This window comes from Homo sapiens, chromosome 5 (assembly GCF_000001405.40).
Source record: "Homo sapiens chromosome 5, GRCh38.p14 Primary Assembly".
NCBI lineage: Eukaryota > Metazoa > Chordata > Mammalia > Primates > Hominidae > Homo > Homo sapiens.
In genome coordinates, this window is record NC_000005.10 from 72318221 (window position 1) to 72344545 (window position 26325).

A 26325-nucleotide genomic window follows, 5' to 3' on the forward strand; every position below is an offset into this window, starting at 1 on the left:
ATTATTTTACTGTTGTATTATTTTTTATTGTTAGTTTTTGTTTTGTTTTGTAGTATTTTGATCCGCTGTTGGTTGACTCTGCAGATGCAGAATGCTCGGATAAGGAAGCCAACTGTACTCCCGCATACCAGCTACTTGCTTACTCTCTATTTATTATCTGTTATTCTCTATGCCTTCATTCTAGCATATGCTTCATTCTAGCATAAGTAATCACCTTTCTACATTCTGGAGTCAGGACAATATCTAGATCATTGCTCAAGAGTTCTGAACTGGGAGATTAAAAAGCTGGGCCAGCTGGGCACAGTGGCTCACGCCCGTAATCCCAGCACCTTGGGAAGTAGAGGCGGGTGGATCACCTGAGGTCAGGAGTTAGAGACCAGCCTGACCAACATGGAGAAACCCCGTCTCTACTGAAAATACAAAATTAGCCGGGAGTGGTGGCGCATGCCTGTAATCTCAGCTACTCGGGAGGCTGAGGCAGGAGAATCACTTGAACCCGGGAGGCAGAGGCTGCAGTAAGCCGAGATCGTGCCATTGCACTCTAACCTGGGCAACAAGAACGAAACCCGAAAAAAAAAAAAAAGGCTGGGGAGGTGATTGTGGGGAAAGACAGGTCTCCCAAAATGCCCTCTGTGTGTAGTTGTTCACGGAAACCACATAAACAGAAAATAGCTACAACAGCTAATTCTTACTAAGGTGTCAAGCGTTGTGCATAACACTGCCTAATGTGTGACATTAAACGTTTTCACCAGGTCAGCCACTTAATCTTCAGAAAACTGGTGGCCAACTCTGAGGTTTCACATTGACGTTTAATGGCTGTTCCTAAAGAAGTGCGTGCTTTTTAAAAAAATAGAGGATGGGAGGTAGGTTGGAAAGGGAAGATAAGCGGCAATGGAAAAATCGAGTGTGATTATTGCATTTTTATCAAATATGTCTGTCTGGATTATGTGGTTAGAATCACTGCAAATTTGGCTTCTATAAATACTTTAAAACTTTTTTCCAATGTTTTCATTATCAGATCCACTATGCAGGCTTTGAGTGGGCTGCCATTTAGTTCAGATATCAAAGTATTTTACAAGTAACTAATAGCATTTATTATCTACACGTGGAAAACTATAGCAAAGAAAGGTCAATCAAAAGTTGTGCTCTAGGTCATCAGATAAAATGAGATTAATACTGAAAAATTCTTCCACGAAGACCAGGGGTCCAGCTAAATGTGTGGTGGTGGGAAAAATGTTTATCTGACGTCCCTCTAAAGAAACCTCAGATGGGAGAAAAATGTCCCAGCCCCAGGAATGGACACATTTAGGTTTTTCCTTTTTTTTTTTTTTTTTTTTTTTTGAGACAGGGTCTCGCTCTGTTGCCCAGGCTGGAGTGTAGTGGCGCGATCTCTGCTCACTGCAACCTCCGCCTCCCGAGTTCAAGCGATTATCCTGCCTCAGCCCCCCGAGTAGCTGGGATTACAGGCGCGCGCCACCAGGCCCAGATAATTTCTTTGTATTTTTTAGTAGAGATGGGGTTTCGCCCTGTTGGCCAGGCTGGTCTCGAACTCCTGGCGATCCGCCCGCCTCGCGTTCCCAAAGTGCTGGGACCACAGGCGTGGGCCACCGCGCCCGGCGCACATTTGGGTTTTTCGTGGTCAGCAAAAGCACGACCACCCCAACACATAAATCTGGCGAATCATACGCAAATTCCCTCATGCTATATAACCTTCCACTGCTCTTCGTACCTTTGGACAGGAACATACTGTTATTTTAGGGAAGGAAATGGATCAGATACCTTGTCTCCTTCTTCTGCACTACCAAACACCCCAAATGGCGTCCCTAGCAATCAGATTCCAGAAACGTTTCCTCTCCTCTTGAAAGCCCACCGCTCCCTTCACCCAAAAAACAGAATAATCAGGGGCCTAATGAAGCTGTCCGGCCAACCTGCAGGAGAGAGCTGAGGAAGAACCACTTGCCGCGCCAGGAGCATCCCGCGCCGCACTATGGAGGCAGCCATCTTGGAGCGTACCAAAAGGAACAGCCAACGGGTTACGGACAGAGGAAGGGGCGGGGTTACAGCTCGACCTCTCGGGGCGCCCAGAATTGGACGAATCCCTTTTGTCGCTCTCGACGACAGGACCGACGCTCCGCCTCCTCGCCCCGGTTCCAGTAGTTGGTATGGTCCGAGACAGTATGGCTGCTGCATTTCGGCCCTCGAATCGAGTTCTCCTGCAGGCGCTGCAGATTTTGGTGTATCCTGGGGTGGGAGGCTCCGGCTCTGTCAGCTGCCGCTGCCCTCTCGGAGGTATCCGCGGCTTTAGCCTAGGGAAGGAGGGGAGGGATGGGAGAGAAGGGAGTGTTAGATCCCAGCTAGCATCTCTGTGGAGCAGCCACAGCTCCTAAGTCACTCACTGGCCTGGAGCGCACCCTCGCCCTCTAGTTGCACGTGGGTGCAGTGGTGACCACTGGGGGTCGTGGATACCCCCAGTGCCTGCAAATCGAAGGACTGCTGGGGTATTGACCTTGGGGCTGTAGTGCTCCCTCAGATGGGGCGACGTTCGTCTTCAGGAACATCCCTCCCGCCTTGGGTGACTTTTATTTATTTATTTATTTATTTTTGAGACGAAGTCTTGCTCTGTCGCCCAAGCTGGAGTGCGGTGGCGCGATCTCGGCTCACTGCAGCCTCCGCCTCCCGGGTTCAAGCGATTCTCCTGCCTCAGCTTTCCGAGTAGTTGGGACTACAGGCGTGCGCCACCACGCCCGGGTAATTTTTTGTATTTTTAGTAGAGACGGGTTTCACTATGTTGGCCAGGCTGGTTTCGAACTCCTGACCTCGTGGTCCACCCGCCTCGGCCTCCCAAAGTGCTGGGATTATAGGAGTGAGCCACCGCGCCCGGCCTTTTTCTTTTCTGCAGAGTTTGGAAGCAGAGGTCTTATGGAGTCTCAGTTCTGCTAACAATCTAAAAGACTTAACGGCACGTTTCTTCATTTTTCAAAACTATCCTCTAACATCTCTATGAAGAGAGTTAAATCTGAAGATGCTAGTGAGTGATAGTAAAAATGTTTGTCAGGCATTACTTTAATGTAGTTTACATACATTAATTCCTTTTCTCTAGACAACACCCAGCAAGAGAAGTACCATTCTTTTCTCCATTTACAGAGGAGGAACAAGGTTAAGTAATTTGCCCAAAGTCAGAGGGAACTGTTAGAGGTGGGATTTGAACACACCCAACAATAGAAACCTGCTCCTAACCACTTCACTGGACTGCCTTTCTGTAAATAAATAGCAACTTTTATTGTTACCTTGTTACTGCAGCTCACAGAACTCTGTTAGTGCGTGATTCTTCGGCCACGCTTGGTCCGTTTTATCTCATGCACAGCCAAGGATCCTAAAGAAAGGATGATGTTTCCCAAATCTACTAAGCTGTGATCAATGATTTCCATGTATCTCAAATGTATTTTGAGTCCACATCTGAGAGGCCTTAACCCCCTCATTTCACAGAGGACAAAACTGGGAGTTCCAGTGGTCATGCTGCAGCTTTTTCCACTACACTGTGCTTCTCCCTGGATAAACCAAAACTAAATATGCCTGTTTTGCATTTAAATGTTATTAGTTTTTTTTTTAAATGCCCTTGATACCCTTAACCGATGGCAAATGCCCATTTGTACTTCAAATCCCAACTTCCTGTCAACCAGTCCCCACACAGGTTTATCACTAGCTACGGTTAATCACTAGCTTCTTTCACACACACAAATAAAACCTGTTTTGCTGAGGATTTGCATTCTCTGGTAGTTCAGAAATTGTTTTTCCCAGGATTTATATTTGTACAGTTTGTACAGTTATATTTGTACCTGTCTAATGGATTATCTATAATAGATGTTAGAGGTAATCCAGCTCTATTCATGTTATTTGCTAACTTCTAAAACAGTCAAAATGACTTTACTTTTTTCTTTCTCTGATTTTTAGCTAAAAGATACCTACTTACAGATAATGTGGTGAAATTAAAAGAATTTCAACAAAAGAAAGTGGCTGTTGCATGTAATCTTTCTGGCACTAAAGGTAATAGAATCTATTTTGTTAATTCTGTCATTTATCTGTCATTTAAGTTTCTCTGTCTTTATCCCTATTCAGTGTCTCCTTCAGTGACTTTATTATGCCTTAGAAAAAGTTGAGACCATTTATTGTTAGTTTCATAGTGAACTCTTATATTTATCTTGCATTTCATACTTTGCTGCTACAACGTCTACAGCTCTCCTCTTATTCCTTCTCTTACGATCCCAGAGAAGTATTAAAGCTAGTGCTGCGATTGGTCTTGTCTAAATCTGTGCCATTAAAAGTGAGGTTTGAGGACCAGCGGCATCAGCATCTATTGGGTGGTTGATAGAAGTGCAGAGAGAAAGGCCCCAGATCATTCATATGCACAATAAAGTTTAAAAACTTCAGATGATTGGCTTTCAAACTTTTTGATGTAACCTTCAGTGAAAAATGCATTTTATGTTGCATCTCAGTACACACAAACATATCTATATATAAATGAAATCAAATGAAACAAAACAGTACTATGTGTGATGATACATTTGGTATTTTTCACTCTGTGCTAGAAAAGTCAGTAGGATCAAAAATTTCTTAAAAAACAAGAGAAACCTGACTACCAAACCTAGGATTTGGCTGGGCATGATGGCTCATGCCTGTAACTCCAGCACTTTGGGAGGCCAAGGCAGGAGGATTGCTTGAGCCAGGGAGTTTGAGATCAGCCTGAGCAGCGTAGACCTCATCTCTACAAATTTTTTTAAAGTTAGTTGGGCGTGGTGGTGCATGCCTGTAGTCACAGCTACTCCAGGGACTGAGGTGGGAGGATTGCTTGAGCCTGGGAGGTCTAAGGTGCAGTAAGCCATGATCACACCACTGCACTCCAACCTGTGTAACAGAGTGAGACCCTGTCTCAAAAAAAAGATAAATCTGGGATTTGCTTTGAAAAAAAATCCAGTGTGTTTGAGGATTGTAGTGTAGAGGAAACATAATTAGCAAAATATTGATAATGATTGAGGCTGGGTAATGGCACTTAGTGAGGGGGATTATTATCCTGTTCTTTCATTTCTTGGGTATGTTTGAAAATTTTTGTTATAAAAAGCTACAAACAAGAACACCACCCTAGGTCTTTTTCCCTTTCAGCACCTGAAAAATCTTGTGCATTCATTCTCTCCCTCCTGCACATAGAGTTCTTCCCAGCATTTCATACCTTTTATTGTGTGTGGATGCAGCAGTGGTCCCTGGGGGTTGTGGATATACCTCCTTGATCCTCCTTTATGAACACATCTAAGACTTTCCTTTTTTTTTTAATAACTCTTGGTGTCCCTACTGACTTTTTCAACCATAGACCCAGCTCTCCTTCCTCTCACTGCCAGATGTTTGTGAGCTCCTGATTAACACATTAACATTCTCTTTGTTTTGGTTTGTTTTTTAAGAGACAGTCTCGCTCTGTCACCTAGGCTGGAGTGCAGTTGGCACCATCATAGCTCGCTGCAGCCTCAAACTCTTGGATTCAAGCAATCCTGCTTTAGCCTCCTGAGTAACTAGGACTACAGTGCCACCATACCGCCTAATTTTTAATTTTTAATTTTTTTTTGTAGAGATGGTCTCACTGTGTTGAGGCTGGTCTCGAACTCCCAGGCTCAAGCTAGTATCCCGCCTCAGTCTCCTAAAGTACAAGCGTGAGCCACTGCACCCATCCTGATACTTTCTGCCTCCATTCCCTCACAATTCAGTCCTCCAGAAATCAATGTTCTCTCGCTGCTCCGCTAATCATACTGTTATATAATACCATATAGGGGGCAAAAAAATAAACCTTTGGAATGGGGGGAATATATTTATCCCCAGTTGAGTAGGCTCAATCTAGATTTCACTTCAGTCTTTTCTTTCTACCCAGGTATTTTAGATCTATGTGAGGTTTGCAGTTAGGGCTTCATGTCATCCAGTTGTGATTTCCAGTTGTCATAGTCTTCATAAGTCTGTGGCAGTTGTGTACATGTTCTGAAAGGCAATTAATATAATCAGTGCCAATCTGCTCTATTGTCAGACTGATATGTTTAAAGTCCTGTCAACCTTTCATCATTTTGAGAGCCCACAGTGGTACTCTGTTGTATACCACACTATTAACATACTCATCTCTCTGGCATCCTGGCTCTCCCGTGATGGACTCCGCCCTTTCTAGGACGGTTTCTGGTTGATCTAGTCACAGCTTTTCCCTCCACACCTGTCATTCCCAGTTCTGTTCTGTTGCTCATGCTGATTTCCTTACCTAGAATATCCCCCTCCTCCATTTCTCCAACCTGATTTCAGCCCTTTCCTTTCTCACTGGTACCCCTCCACTTTCACCAACCTGGTCTGTTCTGAGTCATAATAGTAAAGGTTGTAACAGGACTCTTCTGTCCACTCTGAGTTGTAATAGGTGTCGTAACAGGACAGAAGAGTCTTATTATGTTTATAGTATTCATGTGTCACCTCCTCCATCATTGTTTTCAGGTAGCTTTGTATAAATTTAGCTTGCCCTCCCCAAAATGCTTTTAAGTTCTTTGAGGGCAGGAACTATTCCTTACGCTTCTTGGTGTCTCACACACAAAGAAGGATACTTCCGAGTATGATTATATGATAAACAAATGTTGATTGATTTGTTTTAAAACACAAGTTATATCTGTTGAAATACTGGATTCTTAAGGTGTTGTTTTTTTTTTTTCTGAGACAGAGTCTTGCTCTGTCACCTAGGCTGGAGTACAGTGGCATGATCTCGGCTCATTGCAACCTCTGCCTCCCAGGTTCAAGCAATTCTTGTGCCTCAGCCTCCCTAGTAGCTGGGATTACAGGCGTGCACCACCACACCTGGCTACTTTTTGTATTTTTGGTAGAGACGGGGTTTCACCATGGTGGCGAGGCTGGTTTCAAACTACTGACCTCAAGTGATCCACCCACCTTGGCCTCCCAAAGTGCTGGGATTACAGGCCTGAGCCACTGCACCCGGCCTCTTAAGGTTTATTAAGGAGGATTAAGGAGTACAAGATGTAACGTCATCTCTTTGATGACTTGAGACTTTTTAGACTGGAAGTTGCTTAGAAATATTTAATAGACTAAATCCTCTTAGATCTAACAGGTGACACAAGGAATGAAAATGAGAACAATAATGTTTCTATTTACTGGCAGTTACCGAATGACAAATGCTTTACATATATCATCTCAGGTAACCCTGTGAGGAAGGTACCACGATCCTTAATTTACACATGAGGAATCAAGTCTCAGAGCAAGGGTCTCCATCAGAATGCAAGTGGCCGAGCTTAGATTTCAGCCCAGGTCCTTCCATCTCTAGAGCCTTTAACTGTTACATGGTTCTGCAAATAAAAATTGGAAGAGCCACTGCATTATCTCAAACCTAGTAGGTCTTTTCTTTTAAATTGAGAACAGTGCCTCTGCTTCTAGTTCTTGTGTTTTAGATGTATTTGTGCCTCTCCTTTCAGCAGCATTCCTTCAAAGCTCTGGGTTCTTGGAACAAATCCTATAGCTATTTCCTGGCAGCTTCTGATACTGACAACAGTTCTGCCTTCTGGAAAGCAGATGCTTGGTTGGTGCCTGCTTTGCTTTTCACCCCGCATTTTGGTGGGAATAAAGCCCCTTATTGATGACAAGAAGAGGTGCCTCCTTTTGGTTTTTGTCCCCACGGTTGATCAGATACAAAGACAAGGGAGAATGATAGACTGTGATGACACTGAAATGATTCTGTCACTGAAAAACTGTTTGCTGCTGTTTGGAGGACTGTTTTCCCCCCTGCCCATTACATAGTACTTTGGCATGCCTTCTAACAGCTGAGTAAAAAGAGACCAAGAGGAATGAAAAAGAGGTGAAGTTGAATCAAATGAAAGAAACGTGAGTCATGTGGGTCCACCATTGTGGACAAACCTACCTTCAACTCACATTTTCTTTTTAGTTTTCCCATTTGGTTCTCTGCCAGTTGACGGTTTGGGTGTCTGGCTACATTTTCTTTCTTTTTCTCATGAGTCACCTAGAGATTCAGTTATTTGAGCCAAGCCTCTGGAACAGTAATTCTCAAACTTTAGTATACCAGAGGATCACCTAGGGAATCAAAAATGCCAATTCTTGAGCTCTTACCCCACAGATTTTATTTTAGAGAGTCTTGAGTGGGCCTGGCCCTGTGCCCATGTCCCTGCCTCCTGTGACAGATGCCATCTGCTGATGCTGTTCTAGAGGAGATTGGCCAGTGATGGCAGCTGTGTGTTTCTGAACCCCTCTCAGTGCCCCTCTGCAGTGAGCCGGGGTTGGGCTTCCCCATCTTCCTGAGGTCAGACTCCTTATACTCTCAGTCAGCCTGAGTGATGGTCACCATACTGTGCTTTCTTCCAGAAACGTATTTTAGAAACTTGAAAAAGAAACTGACCCAGAACAAGCTCATCTTGAAGGGGGAGTTGATAACCTTACTACATTTGTGTGAGTCTCGGGACCATGTGGAACTGGCTAAAAATGTCATTTACAGGTGAGGCATTTCCTTAGAATGTTGCCACCCTTATCCCTTCTTACTCTGTTCCTTTCTATGAGCAGTCTGATCCACTTCGAAGTTGTTGCCACCTCTATACTAGTGACTTCCAGATCTCTTGTTCGGATGCCTACCTTGAACTCCAGACACCTACATTCACTTATTGTTGAGCACACACTTACTGGGTTCCTACTATATGCTGGGTGCTAAGGATAGAAAAGCAGATATTTTATGTCTAAAGAAGTTACCAGCCTATCACTGACATATCCCCTAGGTCTTCAAATTCATTATGTACAAATTCACTCCTCTTCTTCTGTTTTCCTTCTCACTGGCTAGTCACTCAGGACAGATATTTTGGAGCCTCTTTACTCTCATGTCATTTGCCTCTCTTTCCTGATAGGGTAAGAAATCCTCTTGGTTCTACTTCCTTGGTATCTCCCTCAGCTCTAGCCTTCCTCTCTCTATCTCCGTTAGCAGTGTCTTAGTTCACGCTTTAATGTCTCTCACCTAAATCCTTTCAGTGGACTCCTATTTTCCCTCCTCCAGTCCTGCTATACCTTTCTGATCCGTTATTAAAGTTTCCCATGTCAGAAAGAACTCGCATGTAAGCATAGCCTGCCACTGGGAAAGCCAGCAAAGGCTTCGCTTACCAGGGAGCAGTATGACATCAAATCAACAGACTTCATTTCTGAAATTAAATTCATTGCTCTTTTCCTTTTCTTTTTAAACTATTTTTTTTTTTTTTTTTGAGATGAAGTCTTGATCTGTTGCCCAGGCCAGAGTACAGTGGCACGATCTTTCAGCTCAATGCAACCTCCACCTCCAGGTTCAAGCAATTCTCTTGCCTCAGTCTCCCAAGTAGCTGGGGTTACAGGTGCCTGCCACCACACCCGGCTAATTTTTGTATTTTTAGTAGAGAGTGGGTTTTGCCATATTGGCCAGGCTGGTCTCGAACTCCTAGACTCAAGTGATCCATCCACCTCAGCCTCCCAAAGGCTGGGATTACAGGCATGAGCCACCACGCCCAGCCCTCCTTTCCATTTTTAAAAGATCTGTTTCTATATATGAACCTGTATTTATATGTACATTTATAGAGAGAAATACAAGATAATCATATAAAGAATACTGGAAGATTCTCTACCAAAAGTTAACTGGTTCTCTAGGAATTATGGATTATGTATTTTTTGTTTATCTAAATGTATATTTTTCTGATTTCTCAAACTTGTCTACAGTGGACATTAATTTTATAACATGAAAAAAATGTCTTTTTTTAAGTAAAAATTAAAAAATTCATTGAAAAATTGAAAAACACCAAAAAGTAGAGAGAAGTAATATGTCACAAATTCTGCTGTTTCAGTTGTCTGTTGCTGTATAACAACCCACACCAGAACTTAATGGCTTAACACAGTAACTATTTATTATTTCTCATAATCCTGGAGTCAGGAATTCAGGCCCATCTCCACTGAGCAGTTCTTGGTTGGTGTCAGATGAAGCCACTCACTCATCTGCAGTCAGCTGGTAGCTGGGCTGTACTACATGGTCCAAGAAGTCCTCTCTTGAGTTTGTGATGCCTCATTGCTCCTCCATGTGGCCTCTCCCTGTCTTTCTGGAGTGCCTCATTATTCATTTGTTGGTTTGAGCTGCACTGGCCCACAGCCCAGATGGGAGCTGCCAGGCATGATAGAGCTGCCCAGAATTGGCATGGCTTCTCTTGGTTAAGGCAAGTTGCCTGGCCAGACCAAAGTCAAGGGGAGGGGAAAAGGATTCTACCTCTGGATGGATGGAGCCATATGCACATACAGAGAGGGAAGAAATTGATGGCAGCCATCTTTGGGGCCTGTTGCTCCCATCTAAGAAACCACTGTTAATATTTTTGCATTTTTTTTTTTCACAGATGTAAAGATTTCATTGTTTTGGTAGATTTTGCTTTACATTGTTATAGTTATTGCTGTGTAATTATTTTCTAAATATAAATATTTTCATGTTAATCATATCCTTAGGAATCATAGTTTAATGGCAATACAGTATTTATTATATGTTAGGTATTTTCATCAACTATGCCCATATTGTTGGACATTGAAGTTTTTTCTAATATTTCACCAGTATAAATAATGTCATGATGAGAAACTCGCTGCATAAAACTTACTCTTTGTTTCCTTTTGGGGATCAGGGGGTATGAACTTTTTAAAGTTTATCAATATATAACTGTCAGATTATTTTCCAAAAGTGTTATGCTAATTTAAAGTCACACTGTATCTACAAACTTAATTCCGTATTTCAGTTTCACAAAGTTAAATCATTTCCCTTTGGCATGTTTTCCTCTCATTTTACTACACAAAGCTATTCAATGTTTATAAGAGTAGTAAAATGAGATAAATATCCTGAACACTCTTTCTACTCTTATTTTTATCATAAATATTCAAAGTATGACTTAGTTCCTTTACTGATGCTAATAAATCTCTACCCAGTTGCTGACCTTTTCCCTCTCTACTTGTAGACAGCCGGACAAGTGGAAAGATGGGTAGATCCAAGGCTCCACCAACATGTTCTCTTTCTCCCTGAGTCAGGCAGCCCGTGGCTGGGAAAGGAGAGTCACGAGCTGAAACATAAGCTTTTTATTGAGCCAAAAATGGGGAGCATCTTAATACCCTCGTTATGTTGACCAAATGCTGTTTGGTTTATTGAGGGATTTTAGACCCTCTTGAACATTTCTTGTCCAGAAGGCAATTCATTATCTCAGTGACTTTCTAGCACTTTTATTAATGTGAATGTCATTTAGCATGTTAATGTCAAATCAGAAACTTTTTTTTTGCTTTCTTTTGCTTTTAATCTGGCACAAGTTTCTCATGAGAATATTTACTGAAATATGTTGATTTTTGAAGATGTTTTCCTTAGCATGCCTTACGTTTTATAAAGATTTATATGTTGAAGACTTGTGTGCCAGGCACATCATCTCATTTAATCTTCACAAAAAAACTGAGTTGGGTTCTCTTCTTCCTTCCATTTTACAGATGAGGAGACGGAAGCACAGAGTAGTTAATTAATTTGCTCATCATCACACAAGTAGAAGAGCTAGGATTTGAATGATCAGTTTGGATTCAGAGCCTGAAAACCCTTAACCACTATCCTATATTGCCTTCCAAAAACTTAATTTATAAGTGTTGTAATGAAGCAATGAATATTATTTATAACTTCTTTTTTTTTTTTTTGAGATGGAGTCTCGCTCTGTCGCCCAGGCTGGAGTGCAGGGGTGCTATCTCGGCTCACTGCAAGCTCCGCCTCCTGGGTTCATGCCATTCTCCTGCCTCAGCCTCCCAAGTAGCAGGGATTACAGGCGCCCGCCACCACGCCCGGCTAATTTTTTTTTTTTTTGTATTTTCAGTAGAGACGGGGTTTCACCATGTTAGCCAAGATGGTCTCGATCTCCTGACCTCATAATCCGCCTGGTTCGGCCTCCCAAAGTGCTGGGATTACAGGTGTGAGCCACTGTGCCCGGCCTATTTGTAACTTCTATAAGTGGATAATGAAATGTATCAAAGTACACCTCATCATTCTATTATGGTATCATTGTAGTATATGCATTTAGAATAGACTAGCGTAATACTACTCTGACTCCTCGATGATTTTTAGCAGAAGGTAAAAAGTATCCTGTTTTATCATCAGCGCTTCTCCCCAAGGTATTTTAGATTCACTCATTATATGAATCTAAATCTGAAAGAAATATGAATATGAAGATTCTTAATGAATAAGTCTTTCTAAAATCTGATTTATGTGTAATCATGAGGTGTTGATTTTGTCATATATTGTCCTCTTGGTGTCTAAAGCAAAAAGAATTGGTTATTGAAAGTAAATTTACAGTAGTGATATGCAGTTCTGACTGGCAGACTGGCTGCCTGTAGAAATCTCAAGCCACATAGAAGACATCATTATCTTTGAGATTAGCCTTTTCCTAAAACTTAAACATTCAAAACCACATTTAATTTGTTTAGCCAGGTGATCATAGCCCAGGTGTACCTTTCTCAAGCTTAGAAAAGCAGAGAGTTGCTGTAAATTGTAAATGTGACTGTTGGTTGTCTGCCATCCTATATGAGGATGAAACCAGCCTCCAGGAGCACAGAGCATCACCCCCACTTCTTTCCCTTGTTCTCCTCTGGGTGGGGCCCATTCTGATGCACTTACAGATGCTACTAGACTCCTGCTGTTTCTTAAGGTGTGCTCACACTCAGTCTAGGGGTTGTTTCTAAATTTAGAGAATGATTACAACATACGTTTTTCCTCTGTTTCTTTTATTTTATGTCAGTCTGCTGTAAATTCTGTTTACTTGTTTAAATGATTGGTGTACTTCTGCACTCCAGGATTCCTGATTGTCTGAAATCTCCATTTCTCCCCCTCCAGACTGTGAGAGGACTTCGTTCTCTGTTGTGTCCCAGTACCTGGCACAGTACCTGCCATAGTCTGTGTCTGTCCTTTTTCCTGTGTCCTACCTTTTGGCTCATTGAATCATTTTCATTACCAGGTACCATGCAGAGAACAAAAATTTCACTTTGGGGGAGTATAAATTTGGACCGCTTTTTGTGAGGTTGTGTTACGAGTTGGATCTCGAGGAATCTGCAGTGGAGCTCATGAAAGACCAGGTTATTGTTTCCTAATTGTTTTCTCTGCCAATGTGTGTGTTTTTGGTGATATTGGAAAAGGCATGTCTTCTATGTACATTATTCCTGGGTTAGATTTTCAAAGAAAGGCTGCTGGGGCTGAATGAGCACATCTCTGCATTTTTAAGTTTCCTTGCAGTCAGTTTGTGTGAAGGGGGGTGGAGTAATATAGAACAAGTGTGGAGGAGGTATAGGTACAGATGATCCTACCTTGGATGTGTATCAATGTGGGTTGTACACCTGCTTTTTTAGGGGCTTTCAATAGAGAAGAGCTTAAGACAGTCTCCATTTAAAGACTGACATTCCTATCCTTTACCTGTATTCCCTCTCGATTTTGTATTTGTATTTTTCTGGTTGAAGACTACATTTGGGAAGTGCTTTTCTATTTTCAAAATACTTTCCGTCACATATTCTGACTTTCTGTTCCTAAAAACAAAAGTAAATAATTATTTTTACAGCTACTCATTGAATATTTACTATGTCTTCAGCATTGTGTTTAAGTACTTTAAATGTTTCATTTTATTTGTTTCTCACAATAGCCCTGATAAGGTAGATTTCCATTTTGTAGATAAAGAAACTAGGACCTAGAGACATTATAAATTCATTCATTCATTATGAAGTCATTTTGATTACTAGATGCCATGTAGAGAACAGAAACATCACTTTGGGGGAGTGTAAGCTTAGACTGCTTTTCATGAGGCTGTGTTTCCCATAATCAGAAACATTTGCTAAATTTTGGGGCCACGGCTGGCCACCAGGTACCTTTTTGTATATTTAGGAACTTACATAACAAGTTGAGTTGTTCTTCTGCCTCTTACTCTTTTTTTATACAAAATTTTCTCTGTACATGGTGGGCATGTTAACTCTAGACTTGCTCCTATTTAATGACACCTGTGTATTAGAAAGATACCCATAATATATTAGTAAGCAGAGAAAAGGTTGTTTCGGAACAGTACAGATAGTTTGATCCTGTTTTTTTTTGTTCCATAAGAAAAGACACATATTAACATTAACATTTTAACAAAATATAAATACATAGATACTGGAAAGATAGACACTAAATCACTTTATCTTTAGGGGGTAGAATTATTAAAAATTCTCACTTTTTACTTTATACATTTTTGTATTATTTGACTATTTTTAATAAACATATGTTAATGTTTCAGTTAAAGGAAAACAAAAGCTTCCCACTGTAATAAATCATAGCCATGAGTATGGTGATAAAAACAAAAATAAAAAAGATGAAAGCAAACGGGTTTTTTTTAGCCTGCTTGTATATGAAAAAGTCATGTATAGGTAAATTTTCTGGAGTAGAATGGACAAATTCGAGTAAGTGACATAGGACCTAATCCTGCTTCTAGCCGAACTTCTCTTGTTCCCTACTTACAACCCTGTAGTGTTGCCAGCATGGTAGCCACATGGAGTCATTGAACTGTGGCTAACTCAAATTTACATGTGCTGTAAGTATAAAATATATGATGGATTTTAATTACTTGTTATAAAAAGAATGCAATGTATGTTAATTTTTATATTGATTACATGTTGAAATTACATCTTGGATATAGTGGGTTAAATAATTTAGTCTATTTCTGTTTACTTTTTTAAATGAGGCTAATTGAAAATTTAGAGTCACATACATTGTGATTCTAAAATATCCTTGGTGACTCAAAATGCTTTTCCATTGGCTGGGGCTGCTCTGGTGGCTTTCCCTCACACTTAGAAGAAAACCCAGACCCTTGACTCTGACCTAGGGGGCCCATTGTGCCATCTCCCCTTTCTCCCTTGCTGACTTCACTCTGGACCTGCATGTTCTTCCTCAGCCATGGCGAGCTCACAGCCTCTAACTGGAACATTCTGCATTCTTATCCTTGAGGCTCCCTCCTTGACCTCACTGAGGTCTCTTCTCACAGTGCCTTCCCTGACTACCTTCCATCCATCTTCTCTACTTGCTCTTCATAGACTTTACTAATAGCTGAAATTAATATTTTTTTTCACTTGTCTTATTCACTGTCTTCTCCACCAGAATTTAAGCTCTACTAGATTATAAACCCTAGTAGGGTTTTGAGCAGGGTGTATATCCTGTTTATCATTTCTTTATTCTCAGCACCTAGAACAGGGTCTGCATAGTAGGTGATCGGAAAAGAGTGAACTTGAGCAAGGCATTTAATGACACATTTGAATACCATGTGTCCCATTATCATGGCACACAAAATGTTGAGATGTTAGCAAGATGTTGGTCAAAGGATACAAAATTTCAGTAAGATGGAATAAGTTCAAGGGATTTCTCTGTACAACATAGTGACTATAGTTAATGACAATGTATTGTATTCTTCAAAATTGCCTAAAGAATAGGTTTTATGTACTTTCACCACACAAAATGAGTATGTGAAGTAATGCATATGTTAATTAGCTTGGCTTAGCCATTCTGTAATATATACATATTTCAAAACAACATACTGTTTTTTGGGGTTTTTTTTGGATACAGGGTCTTGCTCCGTCACCTAAGCGGGAATACAGTGGCACTATTATCATAGCTCATTGCAGTCTCATAACTCTTGGGTTCAAGTGATCGTCCTACCTCAGTCTCCCAAGTAGCTAGGATTCCAGCCTTGTGCCACCACACCCAGCTAATTTTTTAAATTTTTATTATTTTTTTTAAGAGATGGGATCTTGCTGTATTGCCCAGGCTGGTCCTGAACTCTTGGCCTCAAGTGATCCCGCCTCTCCCTCCCAAAGTACTGGGATTACAGGCGTGAGCCACCACACCTGGCCAAATATATACAATTTTTATTTGTCAATTAAATAAATACATACAGACAAGTTGGAAAAAAATGTTGAGAACCACTGTTTTGGAGAATTATTTCAAAAGGCGAATAATCAATTCTGTATTATCCGTTGCCAAAAAAAGACCATAGTTGTGTGAGACCCTCCTGCCTTAGTCCTCAAGTATATTTATAGCTGCCATTTCATGTTAATAGCTGGCACCTAGTTTCCAGGACCACTCTGCCAGGGTTAACTGGCTAGTTTCTTTTCTCCTAAGCATGACAAATGACGGTTCCTTAAAGACGTCCTTCATGGTAATTATGAAACCCAGAGATCTCTTGCTATACCTCTCAGCATGACAGCCAAGAGAGTGGACAGCATTTTAACTTTTTTCTTTTTTTTTTTTTCTTTTTGAGACGGAGTCTCGCCCTGTCACCCAGGCTGGAGTGCAGTGGCGTGATCTCGGCTTACTGCAGCCTCCACCTCCTGGGTTCAAGCAATTCTCTGCCTCAGCCTCCTGAGTAGCTGGGATTACAGGTGCCCACCACCATGCCCAGCTAATTTTTGTATTTTTAGTAGAGACGGGGTTTCACCATGTTGGCCAGGCTGGTCTTGAACTTCTGACCTCGTGATCCACCTGCCTTGGGCTCCCAAAGTGCTGAGATTATAGGCGTGAGCCACCACGCCCGGCCAACTTTTCAAAAATAAAACCTGGGTATATAAAATATATTAGAGAATTCAGAAGGCCAAATGAGTAAAGCATGCAGAATAATAAGACCTGGCTAGATAAGAGACAGTAAAAGTACCTCCTCAATAAATAGTTTTAACTTTTAACCAAACTGTATTGTTCTTCTTCGTTAGCATTTACGAGGTTTCTTCTCAGACTCCACATCATTCAATATTTTGATGGATATGTTATTTATCAAAGGCAAATATAAAAGTAAGTACTGCAATTTCTATTTGCTGAAAAATTCTGCCATGTTTGCTGGCATAGGAACTAGGGGGAAAAATGAGTCATGCAAAAATGATTCTTCTGTAATCCCAGCACTTTGGGAGGCTGAGGCGGGTGGATCATGAGGTCAGGAGATCGAGACCATCCTGGCTAACAAGGTGAAACCCCGTCTCTACTAAAAATACAAAAAATTAGCCGGGCGCGGTGGCGGGCGCCTGTAGTCCCAGCTACTCGGGAGGCTGAGGCAGGAGAATGGCGTGAACCCGGGAAGCGGAGCTTGCAGTGAGCCGAGATTGCGCCACTGCAGTCCGCAGTCCGGCCTGGGCGACAGAGCGAGACTCCGTCTCAAAAAAAAAAAAAAAAAAATGATTCTTATATCCCTGATAAGTGGCTGAATTCTGGAGACCTTAGGAAGTTTGAAAACATTGCATTGCATGTCATCCCTTAAACTAAATATCCCAGATTTTACTTATGCTAAAATTGTGAAGCAGCTTTTAAAACATTAGTTCTTCCTGTTTGACTTGATAGTTTATTTCAACATTTAGTTAATTGCTAAATGACTTTGAGGAATAGCTTTTATTTTGTTGAAATACACTTTTCTGTAGATGGTGCTGAACAGATGAGAGCTTTGGGGGCCAACAGTAGAGGAACTCTAACACTGCGATCCACTCTTCACTTTTGGCAGGTGCTTTGCAAGTATTGATAGAGATGAAAAACCAAGATGTGAAGTTCACCAAAGATACCTATGTTCTTGCTTTTGCAATTTGCTACAAACTGGTAAGACTCTTTCCTCTTAACTTTGAGAGCATTGTGTGTAGTCTTTGAGAGAGGATTTTTCTTCTCTCTACAAATAAAATTCAGTTCCTCTGAAATCTGTTTTCCATCTGGTGCAAATGTTTTAATTTTAAATGTTTTTATTTTTAGAAAACTCAAGTTAGCCATATCAGGCAGTTTTATGGGAAAAGTAATTTTTTCATCTTTCACTCTTCTCTGGTGATTGTGTAGATAGTGAGAACAAGAGGCAATGTGTTGGGTTCAGGCTCTGCTTTAAAGTCATCACGCATGCTGGACTCTGCTAGATCCATCTTCCCTGTTGTCCTTGTCTATGGAAATCTTAGCTTCCTTCATTGGTGAGCTCAAGGACTACTTTGTCCTCATATGTGAAGGCTTTTGCAATCACCGAAACTGGAAGTGATGTTTGTCACCTCCAGATATCCCTTAATTTTGCTCTATTTGTGTCACCTCCCTGGTACTTCTGACACAGCTTAATGTACTTAGCAGATGCACGTTCCATTCTCTCCACTTGAGTGTGAGCTCCTTGAGGTTTCTTTGTATCCCACCACCTAACACAGTGCCTGGTATCCAGTAGTTCTTTAATAAACGTATGTGACATGAAAATGAAGTCCAAGGACAGAGACCATGACTTATACGTTCTTTTATCAATACAAAAAATTAGCCAGGCGTGGTGGCATGCACCTTGTAATCCCAGCTACTCTGGAGGCTGAGGCAGGAGAATTGCTTGAACCCAGGAGGCAGAGGTTGCAGTGAGCCAAGGTTGTGCCACTGCACTCCAGCCTGGGTGACAGAGTGAGACTCTGTCTCAAAAAAAAAAAAAAAAAAAAGTTATTTTATTATTACTGTACCAGGATTATTTCTTGCCCATAGAAACTCTTTCTTCAATGTTTAGTGAATGATCATTGAAATAGTGAAATGATCAATGTTTAATGTATTACTGTTGTCATTCGTATCACTTAAACTTTGGAAACCTGGCACACAAAACCTCTTTATACTGAAAACAAAGGAACATGAAGCGAAGTAGAAGAACATGGGCTGTTGAAAAACTCCCCTGAAGAATGTAGCAATACCAGTTTTCCAAAACAAGGGGATAGCTGGGTTATAGTGGAAAGAAAACCAAGTGGAAATTGAGAAACTTGGAGTCTAGTCTCAACTTTGGTATTATATAGCTTATATATATGACTTATATAGCTGTGAACTGATCACCTATCTCATTTTACAAATGAGATGGTTAGATTTGGGAGTCAGCAAACTTTTTTTATGAAAAGCTAGATAGTAAATATTTTAGGCTTTGGGGGCCACATATGTCTCTGCCTCATGTGATCTCTGCCCCATATTCTTTGTTTTTGTTTTTACAGGCCTTTAAAAATGTTAAAGTCATTCTTAGCTGTAGGCTACATTTAGCCCAAGGGTCATAGTTTGCTGACCTCTGGATTCAATAATTCTTTCCATTCATACCATTCTATGATTCTAGGAGGCCAAAAAAAAAACACCACACAGCACTAGAGCATCACTTATTCAGCATTGAAATTCCCAGCCTTCTTGTCCTCTACTTAGGGATGCCTCCCTGAGTGTATACTGCAATGACGAGAATTTCAATTCTACTTAGAGGCCATGCACAGTGGCTCACACCTGTAATCCCAGCACTTTGGGAGGCCGAGGCAGGCAGATCACCTGAGGTCAGGAGTTCGAGACCAGCCTGGCCAACATGGTGAAACCCTGTCTCTACTAAAAATACAAAAATTATCCAGTGGTGGCAGATACCTGTAATCCCAGCTACTTTGGAGGCTGAGGCAGGAGAATCGTTTGAACTGGGGAGGCAGACGTTGCGGTGAGCTGAAATCGCACCATTGCATTCCAGCCTGGGCAACAGAGCGAGACTCTGTCTCAAAAAATAAAATAAATAAATAAATTCTATTTAGGAAAGGCCAGAGGACTTTTCTCCCCTGTGTCATGTCCAAGAATAACTTGTTTCACCCAGTGGAGATGAGTTGAAAAAGTGATCTGGTCAGCCAGTACAAATTCCACATCAATTCTGGGAACTGTCCTCTCTCATCCCATTTGAACTCTATTTTGACAGGAGTTGCAACTCCCGTTATGACAGATGACAAAGTTGCACAGCCAGGCTGCTGTCATAAACCTAATCCCCTGCAGCATGCACAAAGGAAGAGGATTTGGTTTTACCACTGCTGTTTTTATATCACTGACATTCTTGGATTTTTTTTTAAAGGTTTCTGTTTTCATGGGATTCTTTTATAATTTATGTTCAAATTAGTGTTCGTGTTTTCAAATATTTGACATATGAATATTTTCAGATTGGAAATCCCCCAGAAAAAGTTTCCTGGTGTTGTTGAGCCTTAATCAGCTATTTCATATAGTAGCAGGCAGAACCTTTATACTCATAAATTATGGGGTCTTTGTCTAGAAACTAGCCTGCCCAGATACAAAGACATGTGTATGTTTTCTGGTTAAAACTGCCCCAATTCAGAAAATTGAAAATGAGCTTTAAAAATAAAGTTAATTTAGATTTGACCTGCTAGCCTATCAGTAGCCTGGTGTATTTGCAAATAGTCTTTATATGGGGCTTAATCTTTTAAGTGGCTTGAGGGAGGCTCTAGGAAATCCTTACAAAAGGAACTATAAATACTGAGCACTATTAATCATTTTATTGAACTTAAAGGTTTATAACATTAATCGAACAATCCTGTCTCCTCACAGAATAGCCCTGAGTCTTTCAAAATCTGTACTACATTAAGAGAAGAAGCTCTACTCAAAGGAGAAATTCTCTCCAGGAGAGCATCCTGTTTCGCTGTGGCATTAGCTCTGAATCAGGTAAAGCCTTGTGGTGTACATAAGTAAATTGGGAGTGGCCAGGACTTCATTACTTTTATTCGTCCTTGCTTTTCCTTTTTTCCTTCTGACTGCATCGTAAAGAAGTAGTCACCATAAAGAGACCAATGCCTTTGTTGCCATGGCAACCTATATCTATACCTATACCCACAAAGAATGATTTTATTTACAGTTGGGGACCTAACATGCATTTCTAAATAGAAGGGTAGAGAAATTTCTCAAGTAATTAAAATGAAAATTGCAAGTCATCAGATTACGTTGTAATGTTCTCAGAGAACAGTTTAATTTAATGCTCTCCAAAGTTGAATTAGCCTCAGATGAATGAGGACTGCTGTGTCAGCCCATTGTAGAAATGGGATCCATCACATATTTCATAGTTACATCCAACTACTACTGTTATTTGGGTGAGACCTTAGTGATCATTTAGCCTCATTCCCCTGACTGGACAGGTGGAGGTAGCAGAGACCCAGACATAAGAGGGGACCTCCCTGAGGTCATGCCTCAGTGATGGACAGAGTTAGAGCTGAAACCCTGGAACACCATCTCTCTGGAAGAGCCTCTCCTGAGATTTCCTATTCCAGAGCCTAAAAAATATGAAATGCTTTACATGTTTCCTATGTAGTAAAAGGAAATTTTACAGCAGAAAAATAGTAACCAAGCCAGGTTATTTTCCTGGCTGGTAAAATATAGCTGGAGAACTCTTATTATTAATTAGAAATCAAAACGTGAGGGTGATGCATTTCCATATACTGCTGGGGGGAGTCATTGAAGGACAAGCCAAGAGGTTATACACTTCCCAGCCTTCTGCTGGGCCAAGATCATTTCTTTAACTTTCTAAGCTTCTCTTGCTGTGCAGGGGAATTATTTTGTCTTCTTAGTCAGTCATGAGGTGAGTGAGGTGAATTAAAGTGTCTTTGAAGGCATGTGTTTTTCTTTCTTTGTATAGCTCCTGTAGTTTTTCTTTATTTATGTCTAAGTTACACTGTTTGGTGCACAGATACATCATCACTGTTACATCGTCATTGTGAATCCCTCACTTTAGCATTATAAAGTGCCTATCTAGGTCATGTTTACTGCTTTTGCCCTGAGTTCAACCTTATCTAATATTAGTATCTCCACCCCTCTTTTTGCTTGTTTTTCTCTTTGTTTTGATCAGGTTTGCATTTGACCAATATACAGCTTTTCCTATGCTTTATTTTTGCAATCTTTCTGAATTGTTTTGTTTTAGCTTTGTCTCTTATATACTGCATAAATTTCTGTGTTGCTTTATAATATGATGCTAATCTTTTAATATAATCCATTTGTATTAATGTGACATATATTTGATCTTGGGTCTCGTTTGATGCTTTCTGTTTCTATAACTTTTTCTACTCTCTTATGCCATGTGGTTATTTTCTCTAGTTGGTATTTTTGCTCTAGTGGTGACTTTAAAACCATAGTTTTGATTTTCTTAATTATTTAATTCTTTTGACAAGACCTGTTAATTCCCTAATATAAGTAATGGTGAAATTACTATATTTCCTCTGTTTTTCATCTTATTTTCTTCCTCCCCCATCCAATACCCAATTTTAGCTGGTATTTTATTTTGATAGTGTTCACTTTACTCTTAAATGTACTTGATTTGTCAGTTTGAAGTGATATTTTTTGGCCTGCTGATAATAAAGATAAGGAAATGGGAATGCCTTTTCTACCTTTCATCTCTTTCCCTTCTCTTTCTTTCATTAGTATTAACATTGCTTCATTGTCCAGGCATATAACATTTACACTCTGTACTATAGCCATACTCCCAACTTTTGAGTCCTTTGTATAGTTAAATAGGTTGTTTGGTGCTAGTTGTTTTTCCAGTTTTGTCTTTGTTGGCTGAAGTGAGTATTTTAGTAAATTCTTTGGAGGAATGATATCCCCTGAGTTCTTGGTATTTTAAATTATTTTATTTGCCTGTTGTTTTTGTACTTGAACTACAGTTTGGCCAGATTTACAATTTCAAGGTGACATTTTCTTTTCTTGAGGTACTTTTAGGCATTGCTTTTCTGTCTTCTAGTATGGAATATTGGAGAAATCTAGTATGGAATGTGGAGAAATCTAACGCCTGCCTGATTTTTTTCCACTTGATTGACGTGATGTTGTTCATTTTTCTCATTTCTATCTTCTATATCCATGGAAATATTTTTCAATTAGGGTTTCTTCATCGGCCAGTTATTTTCTTTTCTTTTCTGTTTTTTTTTTTTTGAGACAGAGTCTCACTCTGTCTCCCAAGCTGGAATGGAGTGGCACGATTTCGGCTCACTGCAACCTCCGCCTCCTGGGTTAAAGTGATTCTCCTGCCTCAGCTTCCTGAGTAGCTGGAATTACAGGCATGCGCCCAGCCAAATTTTTGTATTTTAGTAGGCGTGTGCCCAGCTAAATTTTTGTATTTTAGTAGAGACAGGGTTTCACCATGTTGGCCATGCCCAGCTGCTTTTTGTATTTTAGTAGAGACAGGGTTTCACCATATTGGCCAGGCTGGTCTTGAACTCCTGACCTCAAGTGATCTGCCCGCCACAGCCTCCCAAAGTGCCGGGATTACAGGCGTGAGCCACTGTACCAGTTATTTTCTTAATTTTGTTCTACTGTGTTCCTTTCCTCTTTTTAAAAATATCATCTTTATGAGTGTCATGTGGTGGTTCTTTTTTGACTATTCATCATTGAAAAGTGTAAGTTTCAGGCCTAACACTGTGGCTCCTGCGTGTAATCCCAGCACTTTGGAAGGGGGGAGGATCACTTGAGGCCAGGAGTTTGAGACCAGCCAAGACAACATAGGGAGACCCTGTCTCTACAAAAAATAAATAAATAAATAAAACAGGTGCAGTAGTACCTAGTACATGCCTGTAGTCCTTGCTGCTCAGGAGACTGAGGCAGGAAAATAGCTTGTGCCCAGGAGTTTGAGGCTGCAGTGAGCCATGATTCCACCACTACCCTCCAGCCTGGGTGACAGAGCAAGACTCTGTCTCTAAAAAATAAAAATTCTGGCCAGGTGCAGTGGCTAACACCTGTAATCCCAGCACTTTGGGAGGCTGAGGCGGGCAGATCATGAGGTCAGGAGATCGAGACCATCCTGACTAACACGGTAAAACCCTGTCTCTACTGAAAATACAAAAAAAAATTATCCAGGCATGGTGGCGGGCTCCTGTAGTCCCAGCTACTCTGGAGGCTGAGGCAGGAGAATGGCGTGAACCTGGGAGGCTGAGCTTGCAGTGAGCTGAGATTATGCCACTGCACTCCAGCCTGGGCAACAGAGCGAGACTCCGTCTAAAAAAAATAATAATAAAATAAAATAAATAAATAAAAATAAAAATTCAAAAATAAAAGAAAAACGTGTTTCTTTTAGACCGGTCATTTGTAGATTCATGTCAGAGAAAGAGAGAACAACAGAGCGGGACACCAGAGCACTGTTCTAGACTAGCAGGATTTTTCTTCATATAACCCAGAGTTTTGTCTACAAGTATGCACAGGCCTCATTTCTTTTAAGTCAACAGAAGTAGGCACTGAGGTGGTTTTTGGTACGCAGTCTCTTCTCTGCTGCTGCTGTCTTAGGAACATACTGTTTCCTATGAGTATGTCTTGCCTATGGAAACGCTTGACTAGCCTCATCTCTGCCACCACAGGATCCACGGAAGTTCTCTTTACTAGTCCTGCGCTCTGTTCTCATCATTGTAAATAGGAATTTAGGTTTTGTACTTCAGGTTGTGCCCTTACCTTTGAGAGCTGTACTGTTGTAGATTCTTTGTGAGATATAGAGCACTGTCTGCCTCTGACTGCTTTCTCCTGAACCCTGCCAGCCTCCATTTCCAATGTTTCTGGCAGTGTTTCCAGCTGTGCTGTGGCTTGAGGTTTCTATGTTCTAATTATGTATGTCAAAGACAGGCTTTGCACTTTGTTCTTCATTCCTATTTTTTTAGAAGCTGATTCCAATAGGAGAAGGGGAAATACCAACTTTATGCCTGCATCTTAAAAACTGGACTCAGGCAGGTTGTTAAAACATTCAACAATATGCGACTGGATGGAGAATTTTATGGAATGTTTAGTTTTGATTTCCGAAACATTTTATCTTTGTGGACTTCAAAACCCTGAGGTCACCTTAATAGGAATATACTGCCCTCTCTAAGTGATCTTTTACAATAACATTAGTTCCTATGATATGGAATATGATTTGTTTCTCTTCCTTCTAGAATGAGATGGCAAAAGCTGTGTCCATTTTTTCTCAAATCATGAATCCAGAAAGCATAGCCTGCATTAATTTAAATGTAAGTGATTTCTTTATGGTTTAAGGTAAGCCTTGAAATGTATTATAATAAATGTATTATAATAAAATTATACCTAAATTTTTTAGCTGTATACAATGACTTGCTCTCCCAAGGTTTTCATTCAAATCAATAGTCATTTATTGAATTCCTCTCTGAAAATTACAGTATCACCCTTGTAAGAAGAGTCAACACAGCTGTCGCTTCCAGGAGTTTGTAAACAGGTTGGAGAGAGGTAGATATGCTCATATATAAGACATGGCTAGATGCTGAAGACATGAGACGTGGCTAAGAAAGCTGTAGATGTAGGGAGGAGGAGGGGATGGAGACAGATCCTCCAGGCCCTTTACCAAGCCTTGAGAGAAACCCATGTGCCAACTGCGTCTTATTGGTAGTACCTAACTCATGGCATTGTTGCAATTAATGAGCTTATATACTTATGGTACACAAAATAGTGCCTGACATGTGGTAAGCATTCAGTAAATGTTATCTATTGTCATTCTTATTATGTTGCCAGTATGCCCATGGTCCTCTTCCCCATTAACTTACCTGGGCCACCTGGGTCACTTATTTGGGACCTTGTGGTCTGGGTCAGCAAGTGGCTGCACACATATCACCAAGACATGCAAAACCTTAATCCCTAAAACTAAAAGCATAGGAAAAAAAATTATCTCAGATTCACCAGATTCACGCTAATAATAAAGTTTGAGGCATATTACTACTCCCAGAGTTTGAGCAGTGTGTCACAAAACCTTCCTGGACCAATTATAAAAGACTGTCTTGTTATTAAGGACACCATAGCCCCCATTCAGCCTGCCCATATTGAGACTCCTTGTATACTGTGTCTACTTGTGTGGGGGGAGTTGCAAAAGAAAAAAACTTTCAGGAGCTTATAGTCTCCTGAAACAGTCAGAGGGTTGAGATGAAGAAAACATTTTCAGAAAAATGGAAATGTGTAAGCATTAGCATGACACAAACTAGGAAAACAAGTCACAATCAATGGAGTATTCCAAGATGAGTAGATGAAGGGGGTCGGGTTGGCCGGCAGGAGCAACGTGAGGGGCCCTTAGGGCGGGAACCTACTGAGCAGTGCTCTAGAGGAGGACAGGACTGTGGGGTTGGAGGGAATGAGGTGGAGGGTGTTATTTGTTGGGATATTGGTTTTGGTGGAGCATCTATTTAAAAGAATATGAACTGTGGCTGGGCACGGTGGCTCACACCTGTAATCCCAGCACTTTGGGAAGCCAAGGCAGGTGGATCATGAGGTCAGGAGATCGAGATCATCTTGGCCAACATGGCGAAACCCCATCTCTACCAAAATACAAAAAATTAGCCAGGCATGGTGGCACTTGCCTGTAGGTCCCAGCTACTCGGGAGGCTGAGGCAGGGGAATTGCTTGAATCTGGGAGGCAGAGGTTGCAGTGAGCCAAAATTGCGCCACTACACTCCAGCCTTGGCGACAGAGCAAGACTCCATCTCAAAAAAAAGAATATGAACTGTGAATTGTAACCA

At 40.9% G+C, this 26325-nt stretch overlaps 2 protein-coding genes across 14 annotated transcripts in view, besides 4 other annotated features; one reads left to right on the forward strand and one right to left on the reverse strand.

Moving 5' to 3' along the window:
- MRPS27 (mitochondrial ribosomal protein S27) overlaps positions 1 to 2020 on the reverse strand; it is a 100838-nt gene extending 98818 nt beyond the window's left edge. For 2 of the 3 annotated variants that reach the window (NM_015084.3, NM_001286748.2), the window contains exon 1: positions 1929 to 2020. In NM_015084.3, the coding sequence (NP_055899.2) occupies positions 1929 to 2001 (73 nt within the window). In that variant the 5' untranslated portion in view covers positions 2002 to 2020. The remainder of the gene's footprint in view (positions 1 to 1928) is intronic. The other variant, NM_001286751.2, reaches the window with a different exon arrangement.
- Positions 1071 to 1612: an enhancer, noted in NCBI's record as "H3K27ac hESC enhancer chr5:71615118-71615659 (GRCh37/hg19 assembly coordinates)". NCBI's record gives its function as "activates a minimal SCP1, AML or CMV promoter by ChIP-STARR-seq in naive H9 embryonic stem cells {active_cell/tissue: H9 hESC(naive)}" and the evidence as "EXISTENCE:reporter gene assay evidence [ECO:0000049][PMID:30033119]".
- Positions 1613 to 2153: an enhancer, noted in NCBI's record as "H3K27ac hESC enhancer chr5:71615660-71616200 (GRCh37/hg19 assembly coordinates)". NCBI's record gives its function as "activates a minimal SCP1, AML or CMV promoter by ChIP-STARR-seq in naive H9 embryonic stem cells {active_cell/tissue: H9 hESC(naive)}" and the evidence as "EXISTENCE:reporter gene assay evidence [ECO:0000049][PMID:30033119]".
- Positions 1752 to 2081: an enhancer, noted in NCBI's record as "active region_22647". NCBI's record gives its function as "activates an Ori minimal core promoter by ATAC-STARR-seq in GM12878 lymphoblastoid cells {active_cell/tissue: GM12878}" and the evidence as "EXISTENCE:reporter gene assay evidence [ECO:0000049][PMID:35858748]".
- Positions 2142 to 2351: an enhancer, noted in NCBI's record as "active region_22648". NCBI's record gives its function as "activates an Ori minimal core promoter by ATAC-STARR-seq in GM12878 lymphoblastoid cells {active_cell/tissue: GM12878}" and the evidence as "EXISTENCE:reporter gene assay evidence [ECO:0000049][PMID:35858748]".
- The window catches only part of PTCD2 (pentatricopeptide repeat domain 2), a 48023-nt gene continuing 23850 nt past the window's right edge, over positions 2153 to 26325 (forward strand). For 5 of the 11 annotated variants that reach the window (XR_948298.3, XR_241790.6, XR_007058635.1 and 2 more), the window contains exons 1-8: positions 2153 to 2289; positions 3952 to 4044; positions 8392 to 8521; positions 13038 to 13155; positions 16798 to 16876; positions 17574 to 17665; positions 20402 to 20515; positions 24742 to 24816. Coding sequence is in view for 8 of the 11 variants with exons in the window: in NM_024754.5 (NP_079030.3) it covers positions 2163 to 2289; positions 3952 to 4044; positions 8392 to 8521; positions 13038 to 13155; positions 16798 to 16876; positions 17574 to 17665; positions 20402 to 20515; positions 24742 to 24816 (828 nt within the window). In the remaining 3 variants the exon portion in view is untranslated. Of the gene's footprint in view, positions 2290 to 3951; positions 4045 to 8391; positions 8522 to 13037; positions 13156 to 16797; positions 16877 to 17573; positions 17666 to 20401; positions 20516 to 24741; positions 24817 to 26325 lie in introns of those variants that run through there. The other 6 variants (NM_001284405.2, NM_001284404.2, XM_047417743.1 and 3 more) reach the window with 6 other exon arrangements.